This window comes from Homo sapiens, chromosome 2 (genome assembly GCF_000001405.40).
Source record: "Homo sapiens chromosome 2, GRCh38.p14 Primary Assembly".
Lineage (NCBI taxonomy): Eukaryota > Metazoa > Chordata > Mammalia > Primates > Hominidae > Homo > Homo sapiens.
This window is the reverse complement of record NC_000002.12, coordinates 202,202,074-202,229,189: the sequence shown is the minus strand read 5'-3', so window position 1 is coordinate 202,229,189 and position 27,116 is coordinate 202,202,074. Positions and strand designations below refer to the sequence as shown.

The 27,116-nt window shown below is 41.1% G+C and overlaps 2 protein-coding genes across 9 annotated transcripts in view; one reads left to right on the top strand and one right to left on the bottom strand.

Annotated features, from left to right (window-relative positions):
- Nucleotides 1-23,019, top strand: part of SUMO1 (small ubiquitin like modifier 1) — a 32,427-nt gene extending 9,408 nt beyond the window's left edge. Inside the window, exons 2-6 of one of the 7 annotated variants that reach the window (NR_163943.1) lie at nt 9,084-9,158; nt 14,756-14,833; nt 18,384-18,455; nt 21,869-22,057; nt 22,285-23,019. Coding sequence is in view for 6 of the 7 variants with exons in the window: in NM_001371394.1 (NP_001358323.1) it covers nt 9,084-9,158; nt 14,756-14,833; nt 18,384-18,455; nt 21,188-21,322; nt 21,869-21,937 (429 nt within the window). In the remaining variant the exon portion in view is untranslated. Of the gene's footprint in view, nt 1-9,083; nt 9,159-14,755; nt 14,834-18,383; nt 18,456-21,187; nt 21,323-21,868 lie in introns of all 7 variants that reach the window. The other 6 variants (NM_001005781.2, NM_001371394.1, NM_001371392.1 and 3 more) reach the window with 6 other exon arrangements.
- The window catches only part of KIAA2012, a 131,934-nt gene continuing 128,819 nt past the window's right edge, over nt 24,002-27,116 (bottom strand). For both annotated transcript variants that reach the window (NM_001277372.4, NM_001367720.2), the window contains exons 23-24: nt 26,603-26,761; nt 24,002-24,192 (exon numbers count right to left, since the gene is read on the bottom strand). In NM_001277372.4, the coding sequence (NP_001264301.2) occupies nt 26,623-26,761 (139 nt within the window). In that variant the 3' untranslated portion in view covers nt 24,002-24,192; nt 26,603-26,622. The remainder of the gene's footprint in view (nt 24,193-26,602; nt 26,762-27,116) is intronic.

The following is a 27,116-nucleotide window of genomic DNA, read 5'->3' as shown; positions in this document are numbered from 1 at the left end:
TACTCCTGTAATCCCAGCACTTGGGAGGCCGAGGCAGGCGGATTGCCTGAGCACCAGAGTTCGAGACCAGCCTGGGCAACATGGTGAAACCCTGTCTCTATGAAAAAATACAAAATTTAGCTGGGTGTGGTGGTGTGCGCCTGTAGTCCCAGCCACTGAGGAGGCGGAGTTTGCAGTGAGCCGAGATCGTGCCACTGCACTCCAGCCTGGGTGACACAGCGAGACTCAAAATAAATAAATAAATAAAATGGAATTGTGGTAAATTATTTAAGTATAAGGGAAGTGACTTCACTGTAATTCTCGGTTTTTCCCTTTTAATGGTGCATTAGAATTATCCTGTTTAACCCTTTTTGAGCTTTCTTCATTAGGAAATAAAATAAATTGATATATATAGAATTTGAAGCTTGGAGTGACTTTTTTTTTTTTTTTCCGAGACAGTCTTGCTCTGTTGCCCAGGCTGGAATGCATTGGCGTGATCTCGGCTCACTGCAAGCTCCACCTCCTGGGTTCACGCCATTCTCCTGCCTTAGCCTCCCAAGTAGCTGGGACTACAGGCGCCCACCACCACGCCCAGCTAATTTTTTGTATTTTTAGTAGAGATGGAGTTTCACCATGTTAGCCAGGATGGTCTTGATCTCCTGACCTCATGATCTGCCTGTCTTGGCCTCCCAAAGTGCTCTAACTACAGGCATGAGCCACCGTGCCTGGCTGGAGTGAATTTTTTAATGAATTTTTTTAAATTTATGTTTAAATGTACTGTATTATAATGAATCCTTGTGGCCTCCTCTTGGCCTATAATCTACAGCATCCCATTATACTCCCCCATATTATTTTGAAGCCAATTCTAAATATTGTATCATTTCATCTGTAAATATTTCAGTATGTATCTTTAAAAGAGAAGGGCTTTTTCTTTATTTTTAATTTAAATTTAATTTTTTTTTTTGAGACGGAGTCTTGCTCTGCCTCTGCCGCCCGGGATGGAGTACAGTGGTGCCATCTCTACTCACTGCAGGCTCCGTCTTCTGGGTTCACGCCATTCTCCTGCCTCAGCCTCCCGAGTAGCTGGGACTACAGGCGCCCACCACCACATCCAGCTAATTTTTTGTATTTTTAGTAGAGATGGGGTTTCACCGTGTTAGCCAGGATGGTCTTGATCTCCTGACCTCGTGATCCACCCACCTCGGTCTCCCAAAGTGCTGGGATTACAGGTGTGAGCCACCGTACCTGGCCCCCCCTTTTTTTTTTTTTTTGAGACGGAGTTTTGCTCTTGTTCTCCAGGCTGTAGTGCAATGGTGCAGTCTCGGCTCACCGCAACCTCTGCCTCCCGGGTTCAAGCGATTCTCCTGCCTTAGCCTCCCTAGTAGCTGGGATTACAGGCATGCACCACCACGCATGGCTAATTTTGTATTTTTAGTAGAGACGGGGTTTCTCCATGTTGGTCAGGCTGGTCTCAAACTCCTGACCTCAGGTGATTGGCCCACCCTGGCCTCCCAAAGTGCTGGGATTACAGGCATGAGCCACAGTGCCCAGCCAAGGCTTTTTCTTTTAACATGACCAATATACTCTTGTCACACCTTAAAAAATGAACAGATTTGTTAATATCATCAAATAAGAGTAAACGTATTTTATTTTTTGTTGAGTTTTCCTAGAACCCCTCCTTTTTCAGTGAGAATAAGCAATCCAGCCGGGCACAGTGGCTCACGCCTGTAATCCCAGCACTTTTGGAGGCTGAGGTGGGCAGATCACCTGAGGTCAGGAGTTCGAGACCAGCGTGGCCAACGTGGTGAAACCCCGTCTCTACTAAAAATACAAAAATTAGCCAGGTGTGGTGGTGTGTGCCTGTAATCCAGATACTCAGGAGGCTGAGGCAGGAGAATCGCTTGAACCCGGGAGGCAGAGGTTGCAGTGAGTTGAGATCACGCCACTGTACTCCAGCCTGGGAGGCAGAGCAAGACTCTGTCTCAAAAAAAAAAAAAAAAAAAAGGCAATCCTTGTGCAGCTGGGTCCGTGACACATTGGCAGTAGTTAAGTGTGATGCTGTGTCCCTGTGACTGAATTGTCAGTGTACTGATCACCAGAGTGCTTTTTTTGGCATGATCTCGGCTCACTGCCACCTCCACCTCCCGGGTTCAAGTGATTCTTGTTCCCCAGCCTCCCGAATAGCTGGGATTACAGGCGTGCACCACCACCACTTTTTTTAGTAGAGATGGGGTTTCTTCATGTTGGCCAGGCTGCTCTTGAACTCCTGGCCTCAAGTGATTGCCTGCCTTGGCCTCCCAAAGTGCTGGGATTACAGAAGTGAGCCACTGCGCCCAGCCTCCTGAGTGCTTTTAAGCAAAGGTCTTGTTCTTTTGACTTTGAAATAGCATAATAAAACCCTCCTCATGAATATTGTACATTTGAAAATGAGGCCTATTGTGTTTTCCATATCTTTTGCAGTCTAAGAGGCTTTCAGTTCTCTCTTTGATCCTGTATATTCGCTTAATCTTTCCATCACCCATTTCTTCTGCTTTGGGGCTGTGTATCCTTTCCAGCCAAATCACCCAGCTCTCTTTGGGATTCTCTTTTCTTTGATGACCTAGTGTCCCAGACTCGGAGCTAAATGCTTTCACTGTTTTGTAATCACTGTATCATACCGTTCTGTATTGGCTGCTTTTTACAAGGAAGAGAAGGAAAGACAGCCTACAAAAGACACTGAGCTCGTTGGAGACAAACTTTGGCCTTTTTTTGTACAGGATCTTCTCATTTTCAAGGCTAGTTTGTCAAAGAGAGAAGGCAAAAAGCTTGATGACTGCCTTAAACAAGCATGAGGCTATTAAACAAGTGGTACAGGTGATTGTTATTATGGTGGTTAAGAGTTGGGAAGACATCACCAAATGGAGTGTCTAGGGAAAGTGGCAGCTTGTTTTTGGAAATTTAAAATCCAATTGTTCACATATTCTTATGAAATTGAGGTGAATTATCTCTTATTCTCAACTGAATGCAAAAAACTGAAAAGATCTGTTTGAACTATTGCATACAGAAGTATGAAGCATGAGTAAGATTCTGTGATATACAGAAAATAGTGCTGTCAATCTTATTTATTCAACAAACATTTAAAAATTGCTTAGTATTTATTTGGCACTACAGAGGTTAGAGAGGTGAAAAAACTTGGACCCTCCACTTGTAAACTTGTAGGGAAGACAAGACATACCAACCTGTCACAGAAAACTGTTTAATAAGAATATTGAGTATCTTCAAAAGTACCAGGCTCTGTGCTTGACCGGAAATACAAAGAAGAGTAAGGCATGCCAATAAGAAACTCAAATCTGATAGGAGAGACAGATATGCAAACAAATGGTTATGATAGATAAGTAAGCAGTATGGGAACATTTAAGAAGATGATCAGGGAAGTGATGTCTGGGTGGTCATGAGAGGTGAATAGAGTGGGAAAGGGCCTTCCAAGAAGAGGGGGGTCAGCATGTAAAAAGATAATTGAGATAAGGTGGAGGGTGCCATGTTCCAGCAATTGTAGATAGTTATGGCTGGAGGATAGGATATTTGCTAACAGAGGGAGGAGAATAAGGTTTCATTGCTAGGCAGGGACCAGCACATGAAGGATCAGTGTATGTCAGCTAAGGAGTTAGAATTTTTTTTTTTTTTGAGACGGCGTCTCCGTCTGTTGCCCAGATGGGAGTGTAGCGGGCGATCTCGGCTCATTGCAACCTCTGCCTCCCGGGTTCAAGCGATTCTCTGCCTCAGCCTCCTGAGTAGCTGGGATTACAGGCATGCGCCACCACACCTGGCTAATAATTTTTGTATTTTTAGTAGAGACAGGGTTTCGCCATATTGGTCAGGCTGGTGATCCACCCGCCTCGGCCTCCAAAAGTGCTGGGATTACAGACGTGAGCCACCATGCCTGGCCTAGGAGTTTGAATTTAACCCTGAAGATTTTGAGCAGACCAGATTGCATTTTAGAGAGATGGCTCTGGTGACAGTTTGGAGAAATAATTGAAGGGAGGAAGACTGGGAACCTCAGTTATTCTATTTTTAAAATTAATTATTATTTTTTTTTAGTGACAAGGTCTCGCTCTTTCACTCAGGCTGGAGTGCAGTGGCACAATCTTGGCTCACTGCAGCCTTGACCTACCGGGGCCAAATGATCCTCCCACCTCAGCCTTCCAAGTAGCTGGGACTATAGGTGTGTACCACCACGTCTGGCTAATTTTTGTATTTCTTGTAGAGACAGGGTTTCACCATGTTTCCCAGGCTGGTTTCTAACTCCTGGCCTCAAGTGATCTACCTTGGCCTCCCAAAGTGCCAGGATTTGGGTGTGAGCCACTGCACCAGGCCAGTTATGTTGTTGCAGTGATGTTAATAAGCATCAATGAGTGGCTGAACTAAAGCAGTGGAAGGGAGAGAATGGGTTGGGCTTGAGAGCTAGTAAGAAATAGAATTGTCATGGCTTATGCCTGTAATTCCAGCACTTTGGGAGGCTGAGATGGGAGGATTGCTTGAACCCAGGAGTTCAAGACCAGCCTGGGCAACATAGTGAGACCCTGTCTCTAAAACAAAACAAAAAAAGATACAGAATTGTCAGAATGATGAGTGATGTTAAGTATGAAGTTTAATGTTTAAAAGCAGAAGAGGAGCCAAAGATGATCCCGGAATTTCTGTTGTTGGCAGCTGATTGTATGGTAACCATTTATTGTAATTGGGAATCCAGGAAGAATTATAATTTGTTTTGATTTTGATTTTTAGAAAGAGGAGTTAAAACTGACACAAGAGTTAGAGATAATGATTTAGTTGGGACACTTTCACACTGACGTATCCAAGGATATATTCAGGCACTTGGATAAATGAGTGTGAAACTCATAAAGGTTAGAAGGAATAATTGAGTTATTAGTATCTGTTTTTTTTTTTTTTTTTTTTTTAGACGGAGTCTTGCTCAGTCGCCCAGGCTGGAATGCAGTGGCGCGATCATAGCTCACTGCAGGCTCCGCCTACCGGGTTCACGCCATTCTCCTGCCTCAGCCTTCAGAGTAGCTGGGATTACAGGTGCCCGCCACTACGCCCGACTAACTTTTGTATTTTTAGTAGAGATGGGGTTTCACCGTGTTAGCCAGGATGGTCTTGATCTCCTGACCTCGTGATCCGCCCACCTCGGCCTCCCAAAGTGCTGGGATTACAGGCGTGAGCCACCGCGCCCGGCCGAGTTATTAGTATCTGAGAACTAGTTGGAACCGTGGGTCACCAGGGAGACAGAAAAGCAGAGGATTGAAGACACAGAATTCAGATGAAACCCAGCATTGAAGGAAATTACAGAAATGAGGAGAGAACCTAATCTTGGCAGCCAAAGGTGGAGAGTTTTCAAGGTAAAACTCAATCAGTGTTTGTTTGAGAGAGTTACAGATGAGATTTGAAAGTGTACATTGGATTTAGCAATAAAGAATCCACCTGCTAACCACTGGTGAGAAGAGTGTTAAGTGGAATGATGGGGGCATAAAACCACATTACAGTAGGTTGACAGTGAAAGTGGGGATAGCAAAAGCTGAATACTCTTTACGAAGTTTGATTTTGAAAAAAGGTGATAATTGGCTGGGCGTGGTGGCTCACGCCTGTAATCCCAGCACTTTGGGAGGCCAAGGCGGGCAGATCACAAGGTCAGGAGATTGAGACCATCCTAGCTAATACAGTGAAATCCCATCTCTACTAAAAATACAAAATATTAGCTGGGCGTGGTGGCACGCACCTGTAATCCCAGCTACTCAGGAGGCTGAGGCAGGAGAATTGCTTGAATCTGGGAGGTAGAGGTTGCAGTGAGCCGAGATCGCACCACTGCACTCCAGCCTGGGCAGCAGAGCAAGACTCCGTCTCAAAACAACAACAACAACAATAACCACAAAAAGAAACAAAAAAGGGGAGAAAAACGACTAGAGAAGTAAGGTCAAGGGAGAGTATTTTTAAGTTGAAAATAAATGCCATAAAATATATGAATAAATTGCAAGTAGGAGCATTAAAGGAAGATATTAATATCATTTGGAAGGTTGGGGGAGTGCTGTGGTTCATAGACGAGTTTTAAAAAATCCTGGACTTGGCCTTACATGGTGGCTCACGCCTGTAATCCCAGCACTTTGGTAGGCCAAGGTGGGCAGATCATTTGAGGCCAGGAGTTCAAGACCAACCTGGGCCAATGTGATGAAACCCTGTCTCTACTAAAAATACACACACAAAAAATTGCTGGGCATGGTGGTGCATGCCTGTAATCCCAGCTATTCAGGTGGTTGAGGGATGAGAAAATCGCTTGAACCTGAGGTTGCAGTGAGCCGAGATTGTGCCACTGCACTCCAGCCTGAGTGACAGAGCGAGACTCTGTCATAGAAAAGAGAAAAAAAAAAAAGCAGGCCGGGCGTAGTGGCTCAAGCCTGTAATCCCAGCACTTTGGGAGGCTGAGGTGGGTGGATCACCTGAGGTCAGGAGTTCGAGACCAGCCTGGCCAACATAGGGAAACCCCATCTTTACTGAAAATACAAAAATTAGCCGGGCGTGGTGGCACACTCCTGTAATCCCAGCTACTTGGGAGGCTGAGGCAGGAGAATCGCTTGAACCCAGGAGGCAGAGGTTGCAGTGAACCAAGATTGTGCCATTGCATTCCAGCCTGGGCAACAAGAGCGAAAATCTGTCTCAAAAAAAAAAAAAAAGAAAAGAAAAAAAAATACTGAACTTAAGTTCATGTGTGAGGTAGATATCCTTGAGGTGATTTCAAGAGAGGCTGAGAGAGGATATGTATATATATTCCAGGTAAATGAAACTAGGGCCGCAAAGGGCTGAAGTTGAAGTAATGCTAATGGACATATTCAGGGAACAGCAAATAGTCCAATTGAACAGAATCTTTGGGTATGTTGAGTGAATGATGAGAGAAAAATGAGAATTGAGCTTGATGGTGGAAGCAGAGAATGTCATGCTATAGAGTTAGGTTATAGGCCCTAAAGTCCTGGAAGGTATTTATGCTTTTTGATCTGAGTAGTTACAGGATTGGAGAAGCTGGACTTTAGGAGAATTCTGAAGCACTGAGGATGATGGAGGGGAGGAGGGGAAGAATTCTTTTGTGCTGAGTAGCCGCTATAGCTACCCTATCTAGGAGACACAGGAGCAAAGCCACTCATGTTGTGCTGATATATTGCTGCTAGGGGAGGGGGCTGTCCTTTGTGGTAACTTAAACAAAGCTTCTTAAGGCCTCCTCTCCTTCCAGTTACAGAGGACTCAGGGCTTGGTTGCTGTTTATTGCCCTTCACTGCATGGAATAAGCTCTTTGCCTTCTAGATACTTAGAGGAAGAAGCAGCTGTTTACTATGAATATAAATTCATAGAAATGTGGAGAGACTATATTTGAAGACAGTCTTCTAGTTTTCAGGTGAAATACTGTCTCACTAAAGAAGGTTAATTTTGCCTGCTGCTGTAATAGTCAGTAGTCAGCAAATGTTAAAAGCACTGCAGAATGAAAAACAGGCAAGGATTCATACTAATGAAATCAGTTCTGTTATCTAAGCATTTCCCTAGACTCTAGCCTGTATTTTAAAGTTAAAAGCTGCTTCTAGTTTAATATGTTCTTTTAATTGTTGAATGTTAAAGAATTTTGTATTTTAAGTTACTGGCATGAGATACACAGGTAATGGTTATGGTTATTCTTATCAAATACGGATTAACTGCTTGAAATTATTACGGATAATAAGGTATATATCTAAATAAGTGGGTAATTTGGTGGCCAAACTAAGGTGTAGCACATAGAGAAAAAAAGCTACTTTTTTACCACATTATTCATGAAATTTTCCAAGGTACCCCCTTTACTAAAAATGATTTGCTTATTCTTGAGATACTTCATGGTGAAGTTGTTTTAACTAATTTATTCTGTTAACCTCATTTTCATTTCAGTATCTCTTTATTGGAAATTGTTTTGTAACTGTTTTTGTGATCTTTTTTTTTTTTTTTTTGAAGAGATGAGGTCTTGCTATGTTGTCCAGGCTGGCCTCCAACTCCTGGGCTCTCAAGCAGTCCTAGTGCCACAGCCTCTCAAGTATCTTGTCCTCCTATTTTTGTCTCCTCTTTTAAACTTAAGCATTATGCTTCGGATAGTCTAAAATAATTGATTATATAAAACTGATTCGTTTTGACTCCAGAGTACATTAGGCTAATACTTTCTTATTTGATTTTCCTTTCTAAATAGCCTTGCTTGGCTGGGCACTGTGGCTCACGCCTGTAATCCCAGCACTTTGGGAGGCCGAGGTGGGCAGATCACCTGAGGTCGGGAGTTTGAGACCAGCCTGACCAACATGGAGAAACCCTGTCTCTACTAAAAATACAAAATTAGCCGGGTATGGTGGTGCATGCCTGTAGTCCCAGCTACTCGGGAGTCTGAGGCAGGAGAATTGCTTGAACCTGGGAGGCAGAGGTTGCGGTGAGCTGAGATCGAGCCATTGCACTCCAGCCTGGGCAACAAGAGCGAAACTGTCTCAAAAAAATAATAAATAATAGCCTTGCTTATGCTAATATGATTAATTTACATTTCTTAGTACAGTTTTGTAGTTAAAGTAAACTCCTCATGATAGGCTGTGAGAAGATAATCTTGGATTCAGAAGTTTGTCTAAAAATTCATGGAGGATGAACTTCCTTTGTGCTGGTAAGAGCTGGCTGTAGGGCAGTTGTTTCCAAGTTGTTCCTCTGGCCAGTAGTATCGGTACCACCTGGTAATTTGTTAGAAAGAGATTCTTATCCCTACTACAAATGTGCTGAATAAGAAACTGGGTCTTGGGCCCAGCAGTTTGTTTAACACGTCCTTCAGCTGATTTTGATGCGTGGTAAAGTTTTAGACCATTACTATGGGGTATTATAATAAAAGAGACCCCTTTCTTGATTTCTAGTGAATGGCGTTTGGGACAGTAATTGACTTAGGATTTTTTTTTCTTAATTGACTGGCATGGAAAAGAAATGCTGTTTGTATTCTCAGGTGCAGATTTTGCATCCTGAATGAAAGTAATGGATACTCATAAGTGAGTAATTAAAATAGCATGTAGGAACTTTTATCTTGAAATTTAATTTTCTTTCAGGAGGCAAAACCTTCAACTGAGGACTTGGGGGATAAGAAGGAAGGTGAATATATTAAACTCAAAGTCATTGGACAGGTGAGTTTCATTGTTTTTCTCTTTTGAGTCCCCTTCAATGTGAATACTTTTTCACAGGAAAAAAAATTATTTAAGGCAAATTATTTTAAAATGACTATGTATGCATTTTAATTTACTGTGTATGCATCTGTTAGAGGTAGAAGAGGCCGATACTGTTTTTTAAATTACTCTGCCAGGCAGTTTTAGATCATCTTAATTTTTCCAAATAGGAATGTTTTCTTGGTTAGTGTGCTTCAGGGGCAAATACAGTGAATACTATTAAGTGTTAAGGCTAGGGCCAACCTTAAGTAAAAGGTTTATCAGCCCTTTTCCTGACCCTTTTCTGGCCCCCTATTTCCCTAGACTCTAGTCTGTATCTTTTTTTTTTTTGAGATGGAGTCTTGTTCTGTCACCCAGGCTGGAGTGCAGTGGTGCGATCTCGGCTCACTGCAAGCTCCGCCTGCCGGGTTCACGCCATTCTCCTGCCTCAGCCTCCCAAGTAGCTGGGACTACAGGCGCCCGCCACCATGCCCGGCTAATTTTTTTTGTATTTTTAGTAGAGACGGGGTTTCACTGTGTTAGCCAGGGTGGTCTTGATCTCCTGGCCTCGTGATCCGCCAGCCTCGGCCTCCCAAAGTGCTGGGATTACAGGCGTGAGCCACCGCGCCTGGCTCTAGTCTGTATCTTATTGATTCTGAAATGTTAATTAAGGTTAGCTAACAACCGTTGGAGGAATGAATCTACATAGTTACGTGGGTTTTCTAAAGGACAAAAGACAGAGAATTGGTGGAAGGGTGGACTCGCCCAGGATGGAGTGCAGTGGTATTTCTATTGAAGTGTGACAGTACCATTTCCCTATATTCTCCCAAACATGGGATATTAACAGTCTTTAAATTTTGTTCAAATATGCTAGGTAAAACATTTTTGTTTATTTTTCATTTACCTGATTATTAATAAGGTATAATTTTTTTGGTCTGTTACATTTATATTCTTCTGTTAATTGTGTTCATACCCTTTTCCCATTTTTCTGTGATTATCTTATTTTGAAGACTTTTATTTTTTATTTTCAAAATTTTTTAAATTTAAATTTTATTTTGAAATGGAGTTGTGCTCTTGTTGGCAGGCTGGAGTGCAATGGCGTGATCTTGGCTCACTGCACCCTTCACTCCTGGGTTCAGGTGATTCTCCTGCCTCAGCCTCCCGAGTAGCTGGGACTACAGGTGCCTGCCACGAAGCCTGACTAATTTTTTTAAAAAATATTTTTAGTAGAGACGGGGTTTCCCCATGTTGGCCAGGCTGGTCTCGAACTCCTGACCTCAGGTGATCCCCACCCGTCTCGGCCTCCCAGAGTTCTGGGATTACAGGTGTGAGCCACCATGCCGGCTTTATTTTGAAAACTTTTAAAAGATAAAATTCACATACTATAAAATTCACTATTTTAAAGTATATAATTCAGGGGCTTTAGTATTATTCACAAGTGTGTGCAGCCATCACCACTACTAATTCCAGAACATTTGCATTACCCCAAAAAGACACCCTGTACCCATTAGCAGTCATTCCCCATCCTATTTCCTCCAGCCAGTGACAACCATGATTCTACTTTCTGTCTCTATAGGTTTGCCTTTTGTGGACATTACATATAAATGGAATCATAAGATATATGGCTTTTTTTTTTTTTTTTTTTTTTTGAGGCAAGGGTCTCGCTGTGTCACCCAGGCTGGAGTGCAGTGGCCTGATCTCAACTCACTGCGACCTCAACCTCCTGGGTTCAAGCGACCCTCCTGCCATAGCCTCCTGAGTAGCTGGGATTTCAGGTGTGCACCACCATGCCCAGCTAATTTTTGTATTTTTAGTAGAGATGGGGTTTCGCCATGTTGGCCAGGCTGGTCTCAAACTCCTGACCTCAGATGATCCGCCTACCTCGGCCTCCCACAGTGTTGGGATTACAGGCATGAGCCACCATGCCTAGCTTTGATATGTGACTTTTTATTCTGGTTTGTTTCTTCTTTTCTGCCTTGCTTCCCTGTTCCTCTTCCCCTCCCTCCCCTCCCCCCCTCCCCATCCCCGTCTCCCTCTCCAGGGTTCTCGCTATGTTGCTCAGGCTGGTCTTGAACTCTTGGGCTTAAGTGATTCTCCCTCTTTGGCCTAAAGTTCTGGGATTATAGGTGTGAGCCACTATGCCTGGCCTGGCTTCTTTGTTTTAGCATGTTTTCAAGGTTCATTCATGCTGTAGCATGTATCAGTACTATATTCCTTTTAATGGCTGAATTCTGTTCCATTATATGGGTAGAATATATTTTGTTTTCCATTTATCAGTTGATATTTAGTTTGTCCCCATATTTTGGCTACTATTAATAATGTTGCTGTGAACATTCATGTGTGTTTTTGTATGGACATATGTTTTCAGCTCCCTTGGATATATACCTAGGAGTGGAATTGCTGGGTCTAGTATGCAACTATATGTTTTACTTTTTGAGGAACTGCCAAACTGTTTTCAGCAGTGGCCCTACCATCTTACATTCCTAGCAGCAACATATGAGGGTTTCAGTTTTTCCATATTCTGGTCAACACTTGTAATTATCCGTATTTTTGGTTATAATCCTAGTGGGTGTGAAGTGGTATCTCACTGTGGTTTCAACTTGCTCTTTCCTGATGGCTAATGATGCCAAGCATTTTTTTATGTACTTATTGGCCATTAGTACATCTTCTTTGGAAAAATGAAGTTCTTTAGATCTTTTGCCCATTTTTAAATTGGGTTAGTTGTCTTTTTATTGTTGAGTGGTAATATGTCTTTTATTCTGGGTATTAGACCTTTATCATATATATGATTTGCATGGATTTTCTCCTATCTTTGAGTTGTCTTTTCACTTTCTTGGTTTTATTCTTTGCAGCGTAAAGTTTTTAATTTTGGTAAATTAAGTTCATCTGTTTTTTCTTTTGTTGCTTGTAATTTATCTAAGAAACCATTACCTAATCCAGGGTCACAAAGGTTTACGCTTGTGGTTTAAGAGTTTTAAGGCTGGGCACAATGGCTCACACCTGTAATCTCAGCATTTTGGGAGGCCAAGGTGGGCAGATTGCTTGAGCTCAGGAGCTGGAGACCAGCCTGGGCAACATGGCGAAACCCCATCTCTACAAAAAATATAAAAAATTAGTAGGGCGTGGTGGCACATGCCTGTAGTCCCAGCTACTCAGGAGGCTGAGCAGGGAGAATCACTTGAGCCTGGGAGGTCAAGGCTGCAGTAAGCTGTGATCACGTGACTGTACTCCAGTCTGGGTGACAGAGTGAGACCCTGTCTCAAAAAAAAAAAAAAAAAAGTTTTATGGTTTTATTTATAGTTTTAGCTCTTACATTTAAATCTTTCATCATTTTGAATAATTTTTTATGGGTGTTTGTCCCAGACCATTAGTTGAAAAGACTGTCCTTTTCTCACTGAATTGTTCTGGTATCCTTGTCAAAAAATTGACTATAGATATAAGGGTTTTTTCTTGGCTCTCAATTTTATGCCATTGATCTATCTATATGTCCATATGCCATGGAATGTCTTTTTAAGAATTATTAATTTGTGGGATTTTTAAAAATATTGTCTTCATTTTCCTTGTCTGTTACATGTTATGAATATTTCCTCCAGTATGTCTTAACTTTTGTTTATGGCATCTTTTACTATACAGACGTTTTATGTTTTTATTAAGTCAAATTTATCCACCTCTTTTTTTTATGGTTTCTAGGTTAAAATCATGCTTTGCAATAGGGCATCCCAAGGCCAAAATTAGGGGAAAAAAATTCTCCCTTGAGGGGAAAATATTGAGAATTTTTTTTTTTTTTTTTTTGATGTGGAGCCTTGTCCTGTCATGCAGGCTGGAGTGCAGTGGTACTTCCGGCTCACTGCAACATCCGCCTCCCAGGTTCAAGCACTTCTCCTGCCTCAGCCTCCCGAGTAGTTGGGATTACATGCAACTGTCACCACACCCGGCTAATTTTTTATATTTTTAGTAGAGATAGGGTTTCATCATGTTGGCCAGGCTGGTCTTGAACTCCTGACCTCGTGATCTGCCCGGCTTGACCTCCCAAAGTGTTGGGATTACAGGAGTGAGCCACTGCACCTGGCCAAAAAAATTTTAATGTTAGCTCTTTAATTCATCTGCAAGTGATTTTTTTTTTTTTTTTTTGAGATGGCGTCTCACTCTGTTGCCCAGGCTGGAGTACAGTGGCGAGATCTAGGTTCACTGCAGCCTCCGCGTCCTGGGTTCAAGCGATTCTCCTGCCTCACCCTCCCGAGTAGCTGGGATTACAGGCATGCGCCACCACGCCTGGCTAATTTTTTTGTATTTTTAGTAGAAATGGCGTTCACCATGTTGGTCAGGCTGGTCTCGAACTCCTGAACTCAAATGATCCTCCTGCTTTGGCCTCCCAAAGTGTTGGGATTATAGGCATGAGCCACCATGCCCAGCCTGGAATTGATTTTAATGTATAGCATGAGGTTTGCTGTAGAATTTTATCTGTTTATGAAATGATCTATGTGAAGATAATTTTATTTCTTCATAGTTACAGTCACAAGAAAAATACTGTAAATGTGCAGCTTCTGCAAATACACATTTGTGAATGTGATATGTAGTCATGAAGTTTGGCTTTGAAAGTTTACATTATGCAAGTAACAGTATTTTTTCTGAGGATTGGCTGGCTGATAGTTTGTTTCACAATCTGAGCAGAATAAAATAATTTTTGGTCTCACAAATCAGTTTGACTAACTCAGGTTCTTACTCATTTTACTCATGTGAGAGAAACCAGATTCCATGTGGTGATTTTTTTTTTTTTTTTTTTTTTGAGATGGAGTACTGTTCTGTTTCCCAGGCTGGAGTGCAGTGGCGTGTTCTTGGCTCACTGCAACCTACACCTCCTGGGTTCAAGCAATTCTTCTGCCTCAGCCTCCTGAGTAGCTGGGACTACAGGTGTGTGCCACCATGCCTGGCTAATTTTTGTATTTTTAGTAGAGACGGGGTTTCACTATACTGGCCAGGCTGGTCTTGAACTCCTGACCTTGTGATCCGCCTGCCTTGGTCTCCCAAATTGCTGGGATTACAGGCATGAGCCACTGCGCTCAGCCCCATGTGGTGATTTTTTATGGCAGGAATAAATTTCTCAGTCGCTTATTGTATAAAATTGAATTTTATACAATTAATTATTATCTAATTAACTGCTTTTCTCCTAGGCGACCACCTTCAGTGACACTTCACTTGGGGGGACAGACTTTTTGTTTTGAGTTGCTATTGGGATAAATAAAAGATGCGATAGTTCATCTTTTATTTTGACAATAGAATGGCAAATGAAGGAATGCATTTACTTAGACTTTTACTTATACTGATAATTTTAACACTCAAGACTGATTAACTTTGTTTTACTCGGTTTCTTTTGTAATGGGTATACAGTAACTTTGAGGATGATTACACTGTTTTAAGAAAACCTGTTAAGAATGCTAAAAAGAATATTGTGGTGGAAAAATACAGGTTACAAGGTTTATGTTTCTATTTGCACTATATGTGTAATTAAATAGTTTGGTTCAAGTAAAGCAAATGATTTATACAAAGAGGGATAATTTTTTTCTTTTTTATCTCCTTAGGATAGCAGTGAGATTCACTTCAAAGTGAAAATGACAACACATCTCAAGAAACTCAAAGAATCATACTGTCAAAGACAGGTTCGTCCATTTTGGTATTAAGTACAATGCTTTGTCGTTAATTTTTTTTTTTTTATAGAAGATTGTCAGAAGAAAAATCCTGTTTTATTATTTTCACCATTAGCAACTCAAGGAAAACACTCTATCATTTCTTGTACCCTGCTTAACTGCTTTTTTTGTCTTGTGGCCCATTTTAAAGTTTGAATTCGTAAGATGGGAACTAGTTTGAAAAGTAACTCAGAATTGTAAAAGCGAGCTCAAATGAATGTTTCTGTCTTGATGGCTTACCAGTATATATAGCAAAAAAGGCAAGTAATTTTTTGGTGATTACTATGGATTGTTTTTGTACTTCTAATCATGAGTGTTTAGCCATATGTTAAATTTAAGTAGTAGTATTATTAGTATATTATCTCTCTTTTTTTTTTTTTTTGAGATGGAGTTTGCTCTTGCTGCCCAGGCTGGAGTGCAGTGGCACGATCTCTGCTCACTGCAACCTCCGCCTCCCAAGTTCAAGTGATTCTCCTGCCTCAGCCTCCCGAGTAGCTGGGATTACAGGCATGCACTACCACGCCCAGCTAATTTTGTATTTTTAGTAGAGATGGGGTTTCTCCATGTTGGTCAGGCTGGTCTCGAACTCCCGACCTCAGGTGATCTGCCCACCTCGGCCTCCCAAAGTGCTGGGATTACAGGCGTGAGCCACCAGGCCTGGCCTTATAAAATAGGTTTTGAAAATAAATGTAATTGGAATTAATATGAGACAACCAAGATATAGTTTAAGTGAAATTATGATTTAATAAGCAAGAAATATATGTTTAATCAGTCTTAAATTAAATTATAGGCTGGGTGCAGTGGCTCATGCCTGTAATCCCAGCACTTTGGGAGGCTGAGGCGGGCGGATCACCTGAGGGCAGGAGTTCAAGACCAGCCTGGCCAACATGGCAAAACCTTGTCTCTACTAAAAGTACAAAAATTAGCCAGGCATGGTGGCGCATGCCTGTAATTCCCAGCTAGTCGGGAGGCTGAGGCAGGAGAATCACTTGAATCTGGGAGGCAGAGGTTGCAGTGAGCTGAGATCATGCCACTGCACTTCAGCCTGGGTGACAGAGCAAGACTCCATCTCAAAAAAAAAAAAGAAAAAAGAAAAAAAAGAAAAAAAATTGAATTATATTACATAATATTAACTCAGGTATTGTAAATTTTATTTTCATTTATTTATTTATTTCTTTGAGATGGAGTCTTCACTCTGTCGCCCAGGCTGGAATGCAGTGGTGTGATCTCAGGTCACTGCAACCTGTGACTCCCTGGTTCAAGCGATTCTCCTGCCTCAGTCTCCCGAGTAGCTGGGATTACAGGCATGCACCACCACGCCCGGCTAATTTTTGTATTTTTAGTAGTGGCGGGGTTTCACTATGTTGGTCAGGCTGGTCTCGAACTCCTGACCTTGTGATCCGCCCGCCTTGGCCTCCCAAAGTGCTGGGATTACAGGCATAAGCCACCGTGCCCGGCCTGTAGATTTCATTTTTAGAAGGTTTGCTTTTAACAGTTTAAATTTGTAACTCACATTAAAAAAAACTTATTATAAGAAAGAGAAACTAGGTGTTAGGATAAGTAAAACAATAAGCATTTTTGTCTCTTCTGTTTTTGTAGATTTTAATTGTTTAACTTAATAAAATCACATTAATTGGGGTTCAACTACTTCACATTTGTAATAACTTTGGGTGTTAAAATTGAGATGAAATTCATCAGGGGAAAGAAACATTTATTGAAATCTCAATTATGTGTACTGTGCCATAGGTATTTAAGATACATTATTGGCCAGGCACAGTGGCTCACGCCTCTAATCCCAGCACTTTGGGAGGCTGAGGCAGGCGGATCATGAGGTCAGGAGTTCGAGACCAGCCTGACCAACATGGTGAAACCCCTGTCTCTACTAAAAATACAAAAATTAGCTAGGCATGGTGGTGCACGCCTGTAATCCCAGCTACTCGGGAGGCAGAGGCAGAAGAATCGTTTGAACCCAGGAGGCGGAGGTTGCAATGAGCCGAGATCACGCCATTGCACTCCAGCCTGGGTGGCAGAGTGGGACACTGTCTCAAAAAAAAAAAAAAAAAAAGATTCATCGTCATTTAATTTTCATAACTCTGAAGAAAATTCATATAGTCTCTACGCCCCCCATCTGTAGGCCAGGGAATTGATTTTTTTTTTTTTTTTTTTTTTGAGACAGAGTCTCACTCTGTCGCCTAGGCTGGAGTGCAGTGGTGCCGTCTTAGCTCACTGCAACCTCCACCTCCTGGACTCAAGTGATTCCCAATGCCTCAGTCTCCCGAGTAGCTGGGATTACAGGCACCTGCCACCAGGCCTGGCTAATTTTTGTATTTTTTTTTGTATTTGTATTTGTATTTTTTTTTTTAGACAGGGTGTTCCTCTGTTGCCCAGGTTGGAGTGCAGTGACACGACCTTGGCTCACTGCAACCTCCACCTCCCGGGTTCAAGTGATTCTCCTGTCTCAGCCTCCCGAGTAGCTGGGATTACAGGCGCGTGCCACCTCGCCAGGCTAATTTTTGTATTTTTGGTAGAGATGGGGTTTCACCATGTTGGCCAGGCTGGTCTTGAACTCCTGACCTCTAGTGACCCACCCGCCTCGGCCTCCCAAAGTGCTGGGGTTACAGGCTGAATCACTGCGCCTGCCCCGTAATTTTTGTATTTTTAGTAGAGATGGAGTTTCATTATGTTGGCCAGGCTGGTCTCAAACTCCTGACCTCAAGTGAGCCGTCTCTCCCCTTTCAGCTGTTTTTGTTGAAGAGTGATTAGAAAAATGTATACTAATATATTTTGTAATATTTATGGTGCTATCTGTGCCATCCAGGTTTATGGTAGATGAGCTAGCTAGCCATTTGCGCTTTACCAGATTTTATGATAATGTTGGCCAGGCTGGTCTCAAACTCCTGACCTCAAGTGAGCCGTCTCCCCTTTCAGCTATTTTTGTTGAAGAGTGATTAGAAAAATGTATACTAATATATTTTGTAATATTGCGCTATCTATGCCATCCAGGTTTATGGTAGATTAGCTAGCTAGCCATTTGTGCTTTACCAAATTTTATGATGTAATCTGTTTAAAACCAATTTCGCCAGTATAGTTGGAAGCTAGTGAGGGTGCACGTCCAGTTTCTGATCTGATCTTTTATTCTAGCTTACAGATTTAGGGCAAAGTGAATCGAGTAGTGGTCAAGAGCATAGGCTTAGAAACAGGTTTGGGCTTAAATTCTTGGCTAGCTCCAAGCCTTAGGTTCCCTAGCTGTAACATGAAGATAAGGTGGTAATACCTACCTTCCAGGGTTGTTGTGTTTAACACTTATGATTATGTATGTAAAGAATTGGTACAGGGAGGGCCTTGCAAATAGTTGCTACTCAGTACAGTATATAGTATTTATGATTGAATTAGCTTGTCTAATTTTATTTTCTATGTAGTGTTCTAAGGCTTTCATGCTTGCTTTTTGTGCATCAAAGTTACCATTATGTTTTCTAATATTTGTGTGTGTATGTATGCATTATTATTATCTTTACCTTTTTAGGGTGTTCCAATGAATTCACTCAGGTTTCTCTTTGAGGGTCAGAGAATTGCTGATAATCATACTCCAAAAGAAGTGAGTATACTTTTCTCCTGAGTCAAGAAAAAATTTAAATTCTCCTTTGAGCAGTTTGGTTCACTGGTGTTAAAACTGCCCTTTTCTTGAATATTCTCTGATTTAAATGGCATATCATTTGTTGGAGAGAAGAAATAATGTTTTGGGTTGAACTTCCCCTATAGTGCCTTTAAAAGTGCCAATAAAAAGGGTGGTAGAAACAAAATGAGTACTGAAATTGTCATAGGTCACATGCTACATCCTTTTTGAAGATAGACAAATGTTCCTCAAATTTGGTAAATTTCTGGTATACTTTCATGGTGATGGTAACATTAATGGCTGGATTTTCATTTTTGACCTATTTTGAGAATGTTAATACAGAAGCATAGTGTATATTAATATATTTGGCTCTGTCATCTTGTTTTACCCTATTTTTTTATGCTTCTCTGTCTTCATTTGATTTTTTTATTCTATGAGCAGTTTGCTTTGCTTTTATATTCCACCCATCTTCCCTCTATAGAGATATCTCAAAGTAGTGTGTGTGTGTGTGTATGTGTGTGTGTATCTATATACATAGATTCCCTTCATACACAGAGTAACATTACTGATATTTCTGATAGTGGGAACAATATAGGGTTATTAACTTTTTATTTTGAAAATATTTCAAACTTACTGAATTGTGAGAATAGTGTAATACTCTCCTGTATAACTATTCCTTAGATTCACCAATTAAAATTGCACAGCATGTGGGCCAGGCACGGTGGCTCATACTTGTAATCCTAGCACTTTGGGAGGCCAAAGTGGGTGGATTGCTTGAGTCCTGGAGTTCAAGACCAGCCTGGGCAACATGACGAAAACCCGTCTCTACTAAAAATAAAAAAATTTGGCCAGGTGCAGTGGCTTATGCCTGTAATCCCAGCACTTTGGGAGGCCGAGGTGGGCGGATCACGAGGTCAGGAGTTCGAGACCAGCCTGGCCAGTATGGTGAAACCCCGTCTCTACTAAAAATACAAAAATTAGCCGGGCGTGGTGGCATGTGCCTGTAGTCCCAGCTACTCGGGAGTCTGAGGCAGAAGAATCGCTTGAACCCGGGAGGCAGAGGTTGCAGTGAGCCGAGATTACGCCACTGCACTCCAGCCTGGGCAACAGAGCGAGACTCTGTCTCAAAAAAAAAGAAAAAAAGAATTAACTAGGCTTAGTGGTGCATGTTTGTAGTCCCAGCTACTTGGGGGGCTGAGGTGGAAGGATCACTTGAGCCCAGGAGGTCGAGGCTGCAGTGAGCCCTGGTCATGTCACTGTGCTCCAGCCTAGGTGACAGAGTGAGAACCTGTCTCAAAAATAAAGTAAATAAAATAAAATAACATTGTGCAGCATTTGATAGCTGGGATTGGTGGTGCACGCCTATAGTCCTAGCTGCTTGGGAGGCTGAAGCGGGAGGATCACTTGAGTGAGCCCAAAAGTTCGAGACGAGCCTGGATAACAGAGCGAGGAGTCCCCTGTCTCAAAAAAAAAAAAATATTATGTTTTTCTAGTATGACTACTAGAATGCAGTCATAGCTCACTGCAGCCACAAATGCCTGGGCTCTAGCAATCCTATCACTATCAGCCTCCTGAATAGCTGGGATTACAGGCATGTGCCACCATGCTCTGCTTTTAAATTTTTTGTAGAGATGGAGTCTCCCTATGTGCCCAGGCTTTGATCACTTAGTTTAAGTGTTGTCTCTTTTTTTTTTTTTTTTTTTTTACTTTGTAGTTAACTGTTTTTCCTGTTACAATTAAGTAATTTGAGGGGACACACTTTGAAACTATGCGAATATCCCCTTTCTCATCAAATATTCCCCTTAGGTTTAGTGTCCACCACCTTCTTGAACACTTCCTTACTTTCTGGCACAGTAAGAAGTTCCAAACTCATCTTTTACTTTCCTTTAACTTGGCATAATCTCTGGGACCATACAGTAGATATCTAATACATTTTACTGACACATGCCTTACACATTCCTTGTAATTAAGAGATTATTTTTTCAGAGGAATGTTGGTGCAGTGGGAGACAGTAGGTCTTTAGGGAGTGACCCTCCTGTGCTGTTGTTCACTTGTCTCTGTTAATGTACTTCTTGAAGTTTGTAGCTTTATATTCTTTATAGCTCAAGGACTCATGCTGTCTTCCTGTTTTGAAGGTTTCTAATAACACTTGGAATTTTATTCCTTGCAGTATTTACCATGCTATATGGGCAATTAAAATTGTTTTAAAAGCATCTTTTTTTTTTTTTTTTTGAGATGGAGTTTTGCTCTTGTTGCCCAGGCTGGAGTGCAATGGCACAATCTTGGCTCACCGCAACCTCTGCCTCCCGGGTTCAAGCGATTCTCCTGCCTCAGCCTCCTGAGTAGCTGGGATTACAGGCATGCACCACCACGCCTGGCTAATTTTGTATTTTTAGTAGAGACGGGGTTTCACCATGTTGGTCAGGCTGGTCTCGAACTCCCGACCTCAGGTGATCTGCCGCCCCCCCAGCCTCCTAAAGTGCTGAGATTACAGGTGTGACCCACTGCACCTGGCCTAAAAGCATGTTTAATAATTATTTAAATATTCAAATATGTTCCACAACCAAGATAGCTTAACACTACTAGAGCCATTCTGATCACTTTAAAATCCTAAATTCACATGTGTTATGTTTAGATTTCTTAACATACTTTATTTTCATATTTAAAATTCTGCACAAAAATGTTACCTATAAAATTTAAAACTTTTTGGTCAGGCACAGTGGCCCACGCCTGCAATCCTAGCACTTTGGGAGGCTGAGGCGGGCTGGATCACTGCAGGTCAGGAGTTGAGACCAGCCTGGGCAACATGGCGAAACCTCATCTCTACTAAAAATAGAAAAAGTAGCCAGGTATGGTAGCGCACGCTTGTAGTGCTAGCTACTTGGGAGGCTGAGCTGGGAGGATTGGTTGAGCCCAGGATGCTGAGGTTGCAGTGAGCTGAGGTTGAGCCCAGGAGGCTGAGGTTGCAGTGAGCTGAGATTGTGCCACTGTACTCCAGCCTGGGCAATATAATGAGACCCTGTCTCAAAAAACAAAAACAAACAAACACCAAATTAGATATATCCTATTAAACTATCACTTAAACTATTAAATACATGTTTCATTAGATTTAAAAGTTCTTTAACATGGCTGTCAAAAACACTTCAGTTTTATATAGCGAATAAACTGGGAAGTGAAATTGACTCAGGAAAGTAAGATGCATAACTAAATAGACAGAATCAGAAGGAAAGACACCTCTATATTCTTTAGATTAAAGAACACAGGATTCTTAATATTAGAGGAGTGTAAGTATGGGTCACATTTGGATCTCTTTGCACTTTTAAATTAGTGGCCACGTAATTGTAGTCAATTTAAAAACTGCTTTTATAGTCTAACATTTTTCTTTCCTCTTACAGCTGGGAATGGAGGAAGAAGATGTGATTGAAGTTTATCAGGAACAAACGGGGGGTCATTCAACAGTTTAGATATTCTTTTTATTTTTTTTCTTTTCCCTCAATCCTTTTTTATTTTTAAAAATAGTTCTTTTGTAATGTGGTGTTCAAAACGGAATTGAAAACTGGCACCCCATCTCTTTGAAACATCTGGTAATTTGAATTCTAGTGCTCATTATTCATTATTGTTTGTTTTCATTGTGCTGATTTTTGGTGATCAAGCCTCAGTCCCCTTCATATTACCCTCTCCTTTTTAAAAATTACGTGTGCACAGAGAGGTCACCTTTTTCAGGACATTGCATTTTCAGGCTTGTGGTGATAAATAAGATCGACCAATGCAAGTGTTCATAATGACTTTCCAATTGGCCCTGATGTTCTAGCATGTGATTACTTCACTCCTGGACTGTGACTTTCAGTGGGAGATGGAAGTTTTTCAGAGAACTGAACTGTGGAAAAATGACCTTTCCTTAACTTGAAGCTACTTTTAAAATTTGAGGGTCTGGACCAAAAGAAGAGGAATATCAGGTTGAAGTCAAGATGACAGATAAGGTGAGAGTAATGACTAACTCCAAAGATGGCTTCACTGAAGAAAAGGCATTTTAAGATTTTTTAAAAATCTTGTCAGAAGATCCCAGAAAAGTTCTAATTTTCATTAGCAATTAATAAAGCTATACATGCAGAAATGAATACAACAGAACACTGCTCTTTTTGATTTTATTTGTACTTTTTGGCCTGGGATATGGGTTTTAAATGGACATTGTCTGTACCAGCTTCATTAAAATAAACAATATTTGTAAAAATCATACTAATGCTTATTTTATTTTAATTGTATAGAAAGAAAAAAATGCCTAAAATAAGGTTTTCTTGCATAAATACTGGAAATTGCACATGGTACAAATTTTTTCTTCATTACTGTACAGTGATGATGTTAATGACTTTGAAGCACTGAAAGTTACTGAAGTGCCTTCTGAATCAAGGATTTAATTAAGGCCACAATACCTTTTTAATACTCAGTGTTCTGTTTTTTTAAAAACTTGATATTCCTGTATGGTGCATATATGATACAGTTACCTAATCATGTTGAATAAATGGGCATGCCAAAAATTCTTACTGGATTTTTATTGATAATTTCAGTTCTTCCTTTAACAAGGTACAAAGTGGTAAGGTTTGGTATATTTTATGTTTTCCTTTTATTTCTTTATATCTTTTTTTTTTTTTTTTTTTTTTTTGAGACAGAGTCTCACTCTGTCACCCAGGCTGGAGTACAGTGGTGTGATCTTGGCTCGCTGGAACCTCTGCCTCCCGGGTTCAAGTGATTCTTCTGCCTCAGCCTCCTGAGTAGCTGGGACTACTCGGGACTGTGCCACTACGTCTGGCTAATTTTTGTATTTTTAGTAGAGATGGGGTTTCACCATGTTGGCCAGGATGGTCTCGATCGCTTAACCTTGTGATCTGCCTGCCTCGACCTACCAAAGTGCTGGGATTACAGGCGTGAGCCACCGTGCCTGGCCCAGCCTTATTTCTTTTTATCTTAAATATTTAAACTTTGTGTAAAATTAAAATATCAGATTAGTTTGTTCCTATTAGAGGGCTTAACTTTTCCTTTTAATGCTAATGAATCACAGAATTTACATCTATGCATACATACAGTCCAGTTTCATGTTATCTCAAATAGAATGTCATCTAACTACTTGAGAAGACCAAATAAAACCCACTTTGAATGCATTTTATAAACTATTATAGCTTACATACCTACTCAAGTCACCTTTTGAGAAAGAGATTGATTGGCTTGATCTTATAATTCTTATGTTTGACCCTAACTGAAAAATTATTTGTATGGTATAAGTTAGAGCTTTTAGATTGTCACCTGATATTTATCATTATGTTCATTGAACAGTGACTAGGAACTAGGCCCATTTTAAGAAAATCCTCATGAGTTGCGTATTTCTGTCAAGATTGAATAACAGATCTGATTGGGTATTTGAACTATGAATCTGTAGTTTGGTATCTTAATTTTGTTTGCGTCTCTGAATGTCTGAAGACGCTCAGGATTTTGGTGGGACTTAGCTACTGGGGAAGTAATTTTCTTGTTTTTAGTTTTTTGGATTTTTCGAAATGCATTGCACTCTGATATGGTTAACTTAAATGTGTGCTTATCTGGTTAGCAGTGCTGATAAAATAGGCATTTCACAACAAAAATTTTAACAGATTATCAGATTTCTGAAGGGACCTTGAATAACATTTAGGGAAGTCACTCTTATCTGGTGCTTGACTGCAACATCCTAAATCTGTAACAAAAGGGAGAAAATAAAGTCAGCAATGGTAATTTCCCCCACAAGGATGTTATCCTCAAGTGTTTGTTCTGTTGTGGGTTGAATTATTTGAGATGCTCCTTTCTTATCTGATTAAGTAGTATTGAATGAATTGATTGAATGAATGAATGTCCAGGTAGGGTCCACAAGCTTGAGAAAACGTTTATATGACATATTTAAGTTCAGTATGACTGATACTATCTAGTGTTTGACTGTTTTATTTCTGTTTAATTTTTACAAAAAAGGAGTTAAAATAAGTATCAAATCTAAGCACATCTAATAACAGCAATACAGACTACAAATAGGTTGGATTTCTGGGTTGTAAAGGTGTAATTTCTGTAGAAAGCAAATACCTTACAAACATTAATGAGGAATTGGAGGGGATTACTTGCAAATATTAAGCTTTTCATCTGTGGACAGTTAAGTATAGAGTAGGGCCAAAAGAAATTTGTGAAAAAATTCAGTTCAGATGCTCTAGATTTAAATAACATCCTTTTATATAACTTGTATGCTAAAAATATCTTTCTTCATTTTGTTAAAGGGATATTTTATTAAATATTAAAAGAGATGTTAAATATCTAATCAAGTCTCATCCTGGGCCAGGCACAGCGGCTCATGCCTGTAACCCCAGCACTTTGGAAGGCTGAGGTGGGCAGATAACTCGAGCCCAGGATTTTGAGACCAGCCTGAGCATCATGACGAAACCCCATCTGTACTAAAAATATACAAATTAGCCAAGTGTGGTGGTACGTGCCTATAGTCTCAGCTACTTGGGAGGCTGAGGTGGGAGGATTGTTTGAGCCCAGGAGGTCAAAGCTGCAGTGAGCTGTGATGGCGCCACTGCACTCTAGTTTGGACGACAGAGTGAGACCCTGTCTTAAAAAAAAAAAAAAAAAACAAAAAACCGCTGGGTGCGGTGGCTCACGCCTGTAATCCCAGCACTCTGGGAGGCCAAGGTAGGCGGATCACAAGGTCAGGAGATCGAGACCATCCTGGCTAACATGGTGAAACCCCGTCTCTACTAAAAATATAAAAAATTAGCCAGGCATGGTGGCGGGGGCCTGTAGTCTCAGCTACTCGGGAAGCTGAGGCAGAAGAATGGCGTGAACCCGGGAGGCGAAGCTTGCAGTGAGCCGAGATCGTGCCACTGCACTCCAGCCTGGGCGACAGAGCGAGACTCCGTCTCAAAAAAAAAAAAAAAGACATCCTGGTAGAGTCAATGTAATTTTTTCAACTGGGGAAATTTTTGTGGGTGGTTAATTCTTCAGGGCACAGGGGCTAAAACTCAAGATTTATTAATGTTCAGGGCTCTAGAATAATGCTGCCCAATAGAACTTCCTGTCATGGAAATATTCTACATCTGTGCTTTCCAATACAGTAGCCGGTAACCACACATGACCACTGAGCACTTGAAATGGGGGTGTTGTGGCTGAAGAATGTTTTAACAAGTTTAAATAGCTACATGCGGCTGGTGCTGTGTACTCAGCAGTGCAGCTCTAGAATCTATACTTCGAGGATGTGAGAATGGCCTCACGAAGCAGCTCATTTTGCTGAAATGAACATTTTTCAAGTGGTTGCAGATATGCATTGTTCTAAATAGACATTACGTTTTAGATTCTTAAGGTGAAATGGTTGTGGTTTTGCTTTATAGAGAGATGTATAATAAAATTCTTTATATATTTGAATATATAAATTTCTCTGCATTACAAAATTTTGCATTACAAAATTTTCATTTATCTAAACTCTTTCAGATACATTGACTGAAATGAAATACTTTGACTATCCTAAGACCACGTTAGTGTTTCAGACTGAAATTATGGGCAGTTTTAGGCACCAAGGCTTCTGGATTTACGTGGTTCTGAAGGACATAAAGGATTTAGGTGAATGAAGAGTTCAGTTGGGTTGAACAAAATGTGTGAGTTGTGGAGGAGTGGTGGAAATGGAGGTTCCAGAGTAGAGAATATCTTAGGTGTGGGTTGAGGTTAAGCAGATGAAATGGAACTAACTAATTGGGCTCAGAATGGAACTTTTTTTTTTTTTTTCTTAAGAGACAGGGTCCCACTCTGTCACCCAGGCTGCAGTACAGTGGCACCGTCATAGCTCAGTGCAGCCTGGAAGTCTTAGGCTCAAGTGATCCTCCTTCAGCCTCCTGAGTAGCTGGGATTACAGGCACACCCCACCATGCCTGGCTAATTTAAATGTTTTTTTATAAAGATGAGGTTTCCACTATGTTGCCTAGGATGGTCTCAAACTCCTGACCTCAAGCAAGCCTCCCGCCTCAGCCTCTCAAAGTGTTGGGATTACATGCATGAGCCACCGTGCCTGGCCCCTAGAACTTTATTATAAAGGGGAATTTCTCCTTTTCTTTCACCATCTCCCAACTTACTTTTTAGTTTTCTTCTAGCCTTAAGGCCTGGGTATTTGTAGGAACTGGAAATAAGAGTAAACCCATGGTCTGGAAATGTTCTGTGTCCACTGCAGGCCACTGGCTTCCTTATGGAGTTCTTGATAGAAATGAAAATGTTTCTCCAAAGCAGCTTTTTGCCTAAGGAGACAACCCCACCCCCAATTCCAATAATGATTAAACACCCTAGAAATTGTCCTTATAAGCCAGCAAGATAACTTTAGATTTGAATAATTATCAGTTAGACTTCGGGCTGTTGATCTTGGATTTCAGTGGAAGATCATACTCTTCATTTAGTAAATTTACATACAAGGTTTGGAGTACCATGAGCCTCCTACTGGAAAAGTAAAAAGAGAGGCATAATTCACAGTTCTTACACTGCTGGAAAGGACTCCCTCATTTAAGAGATGAGGAAACGGGCCAGGTGCAGTGGCTCATGCCTGCAATCGCAGCACTTTGGGAGGTAGAGGCAGGCAGATAGGCCAGGTGTTTGAGA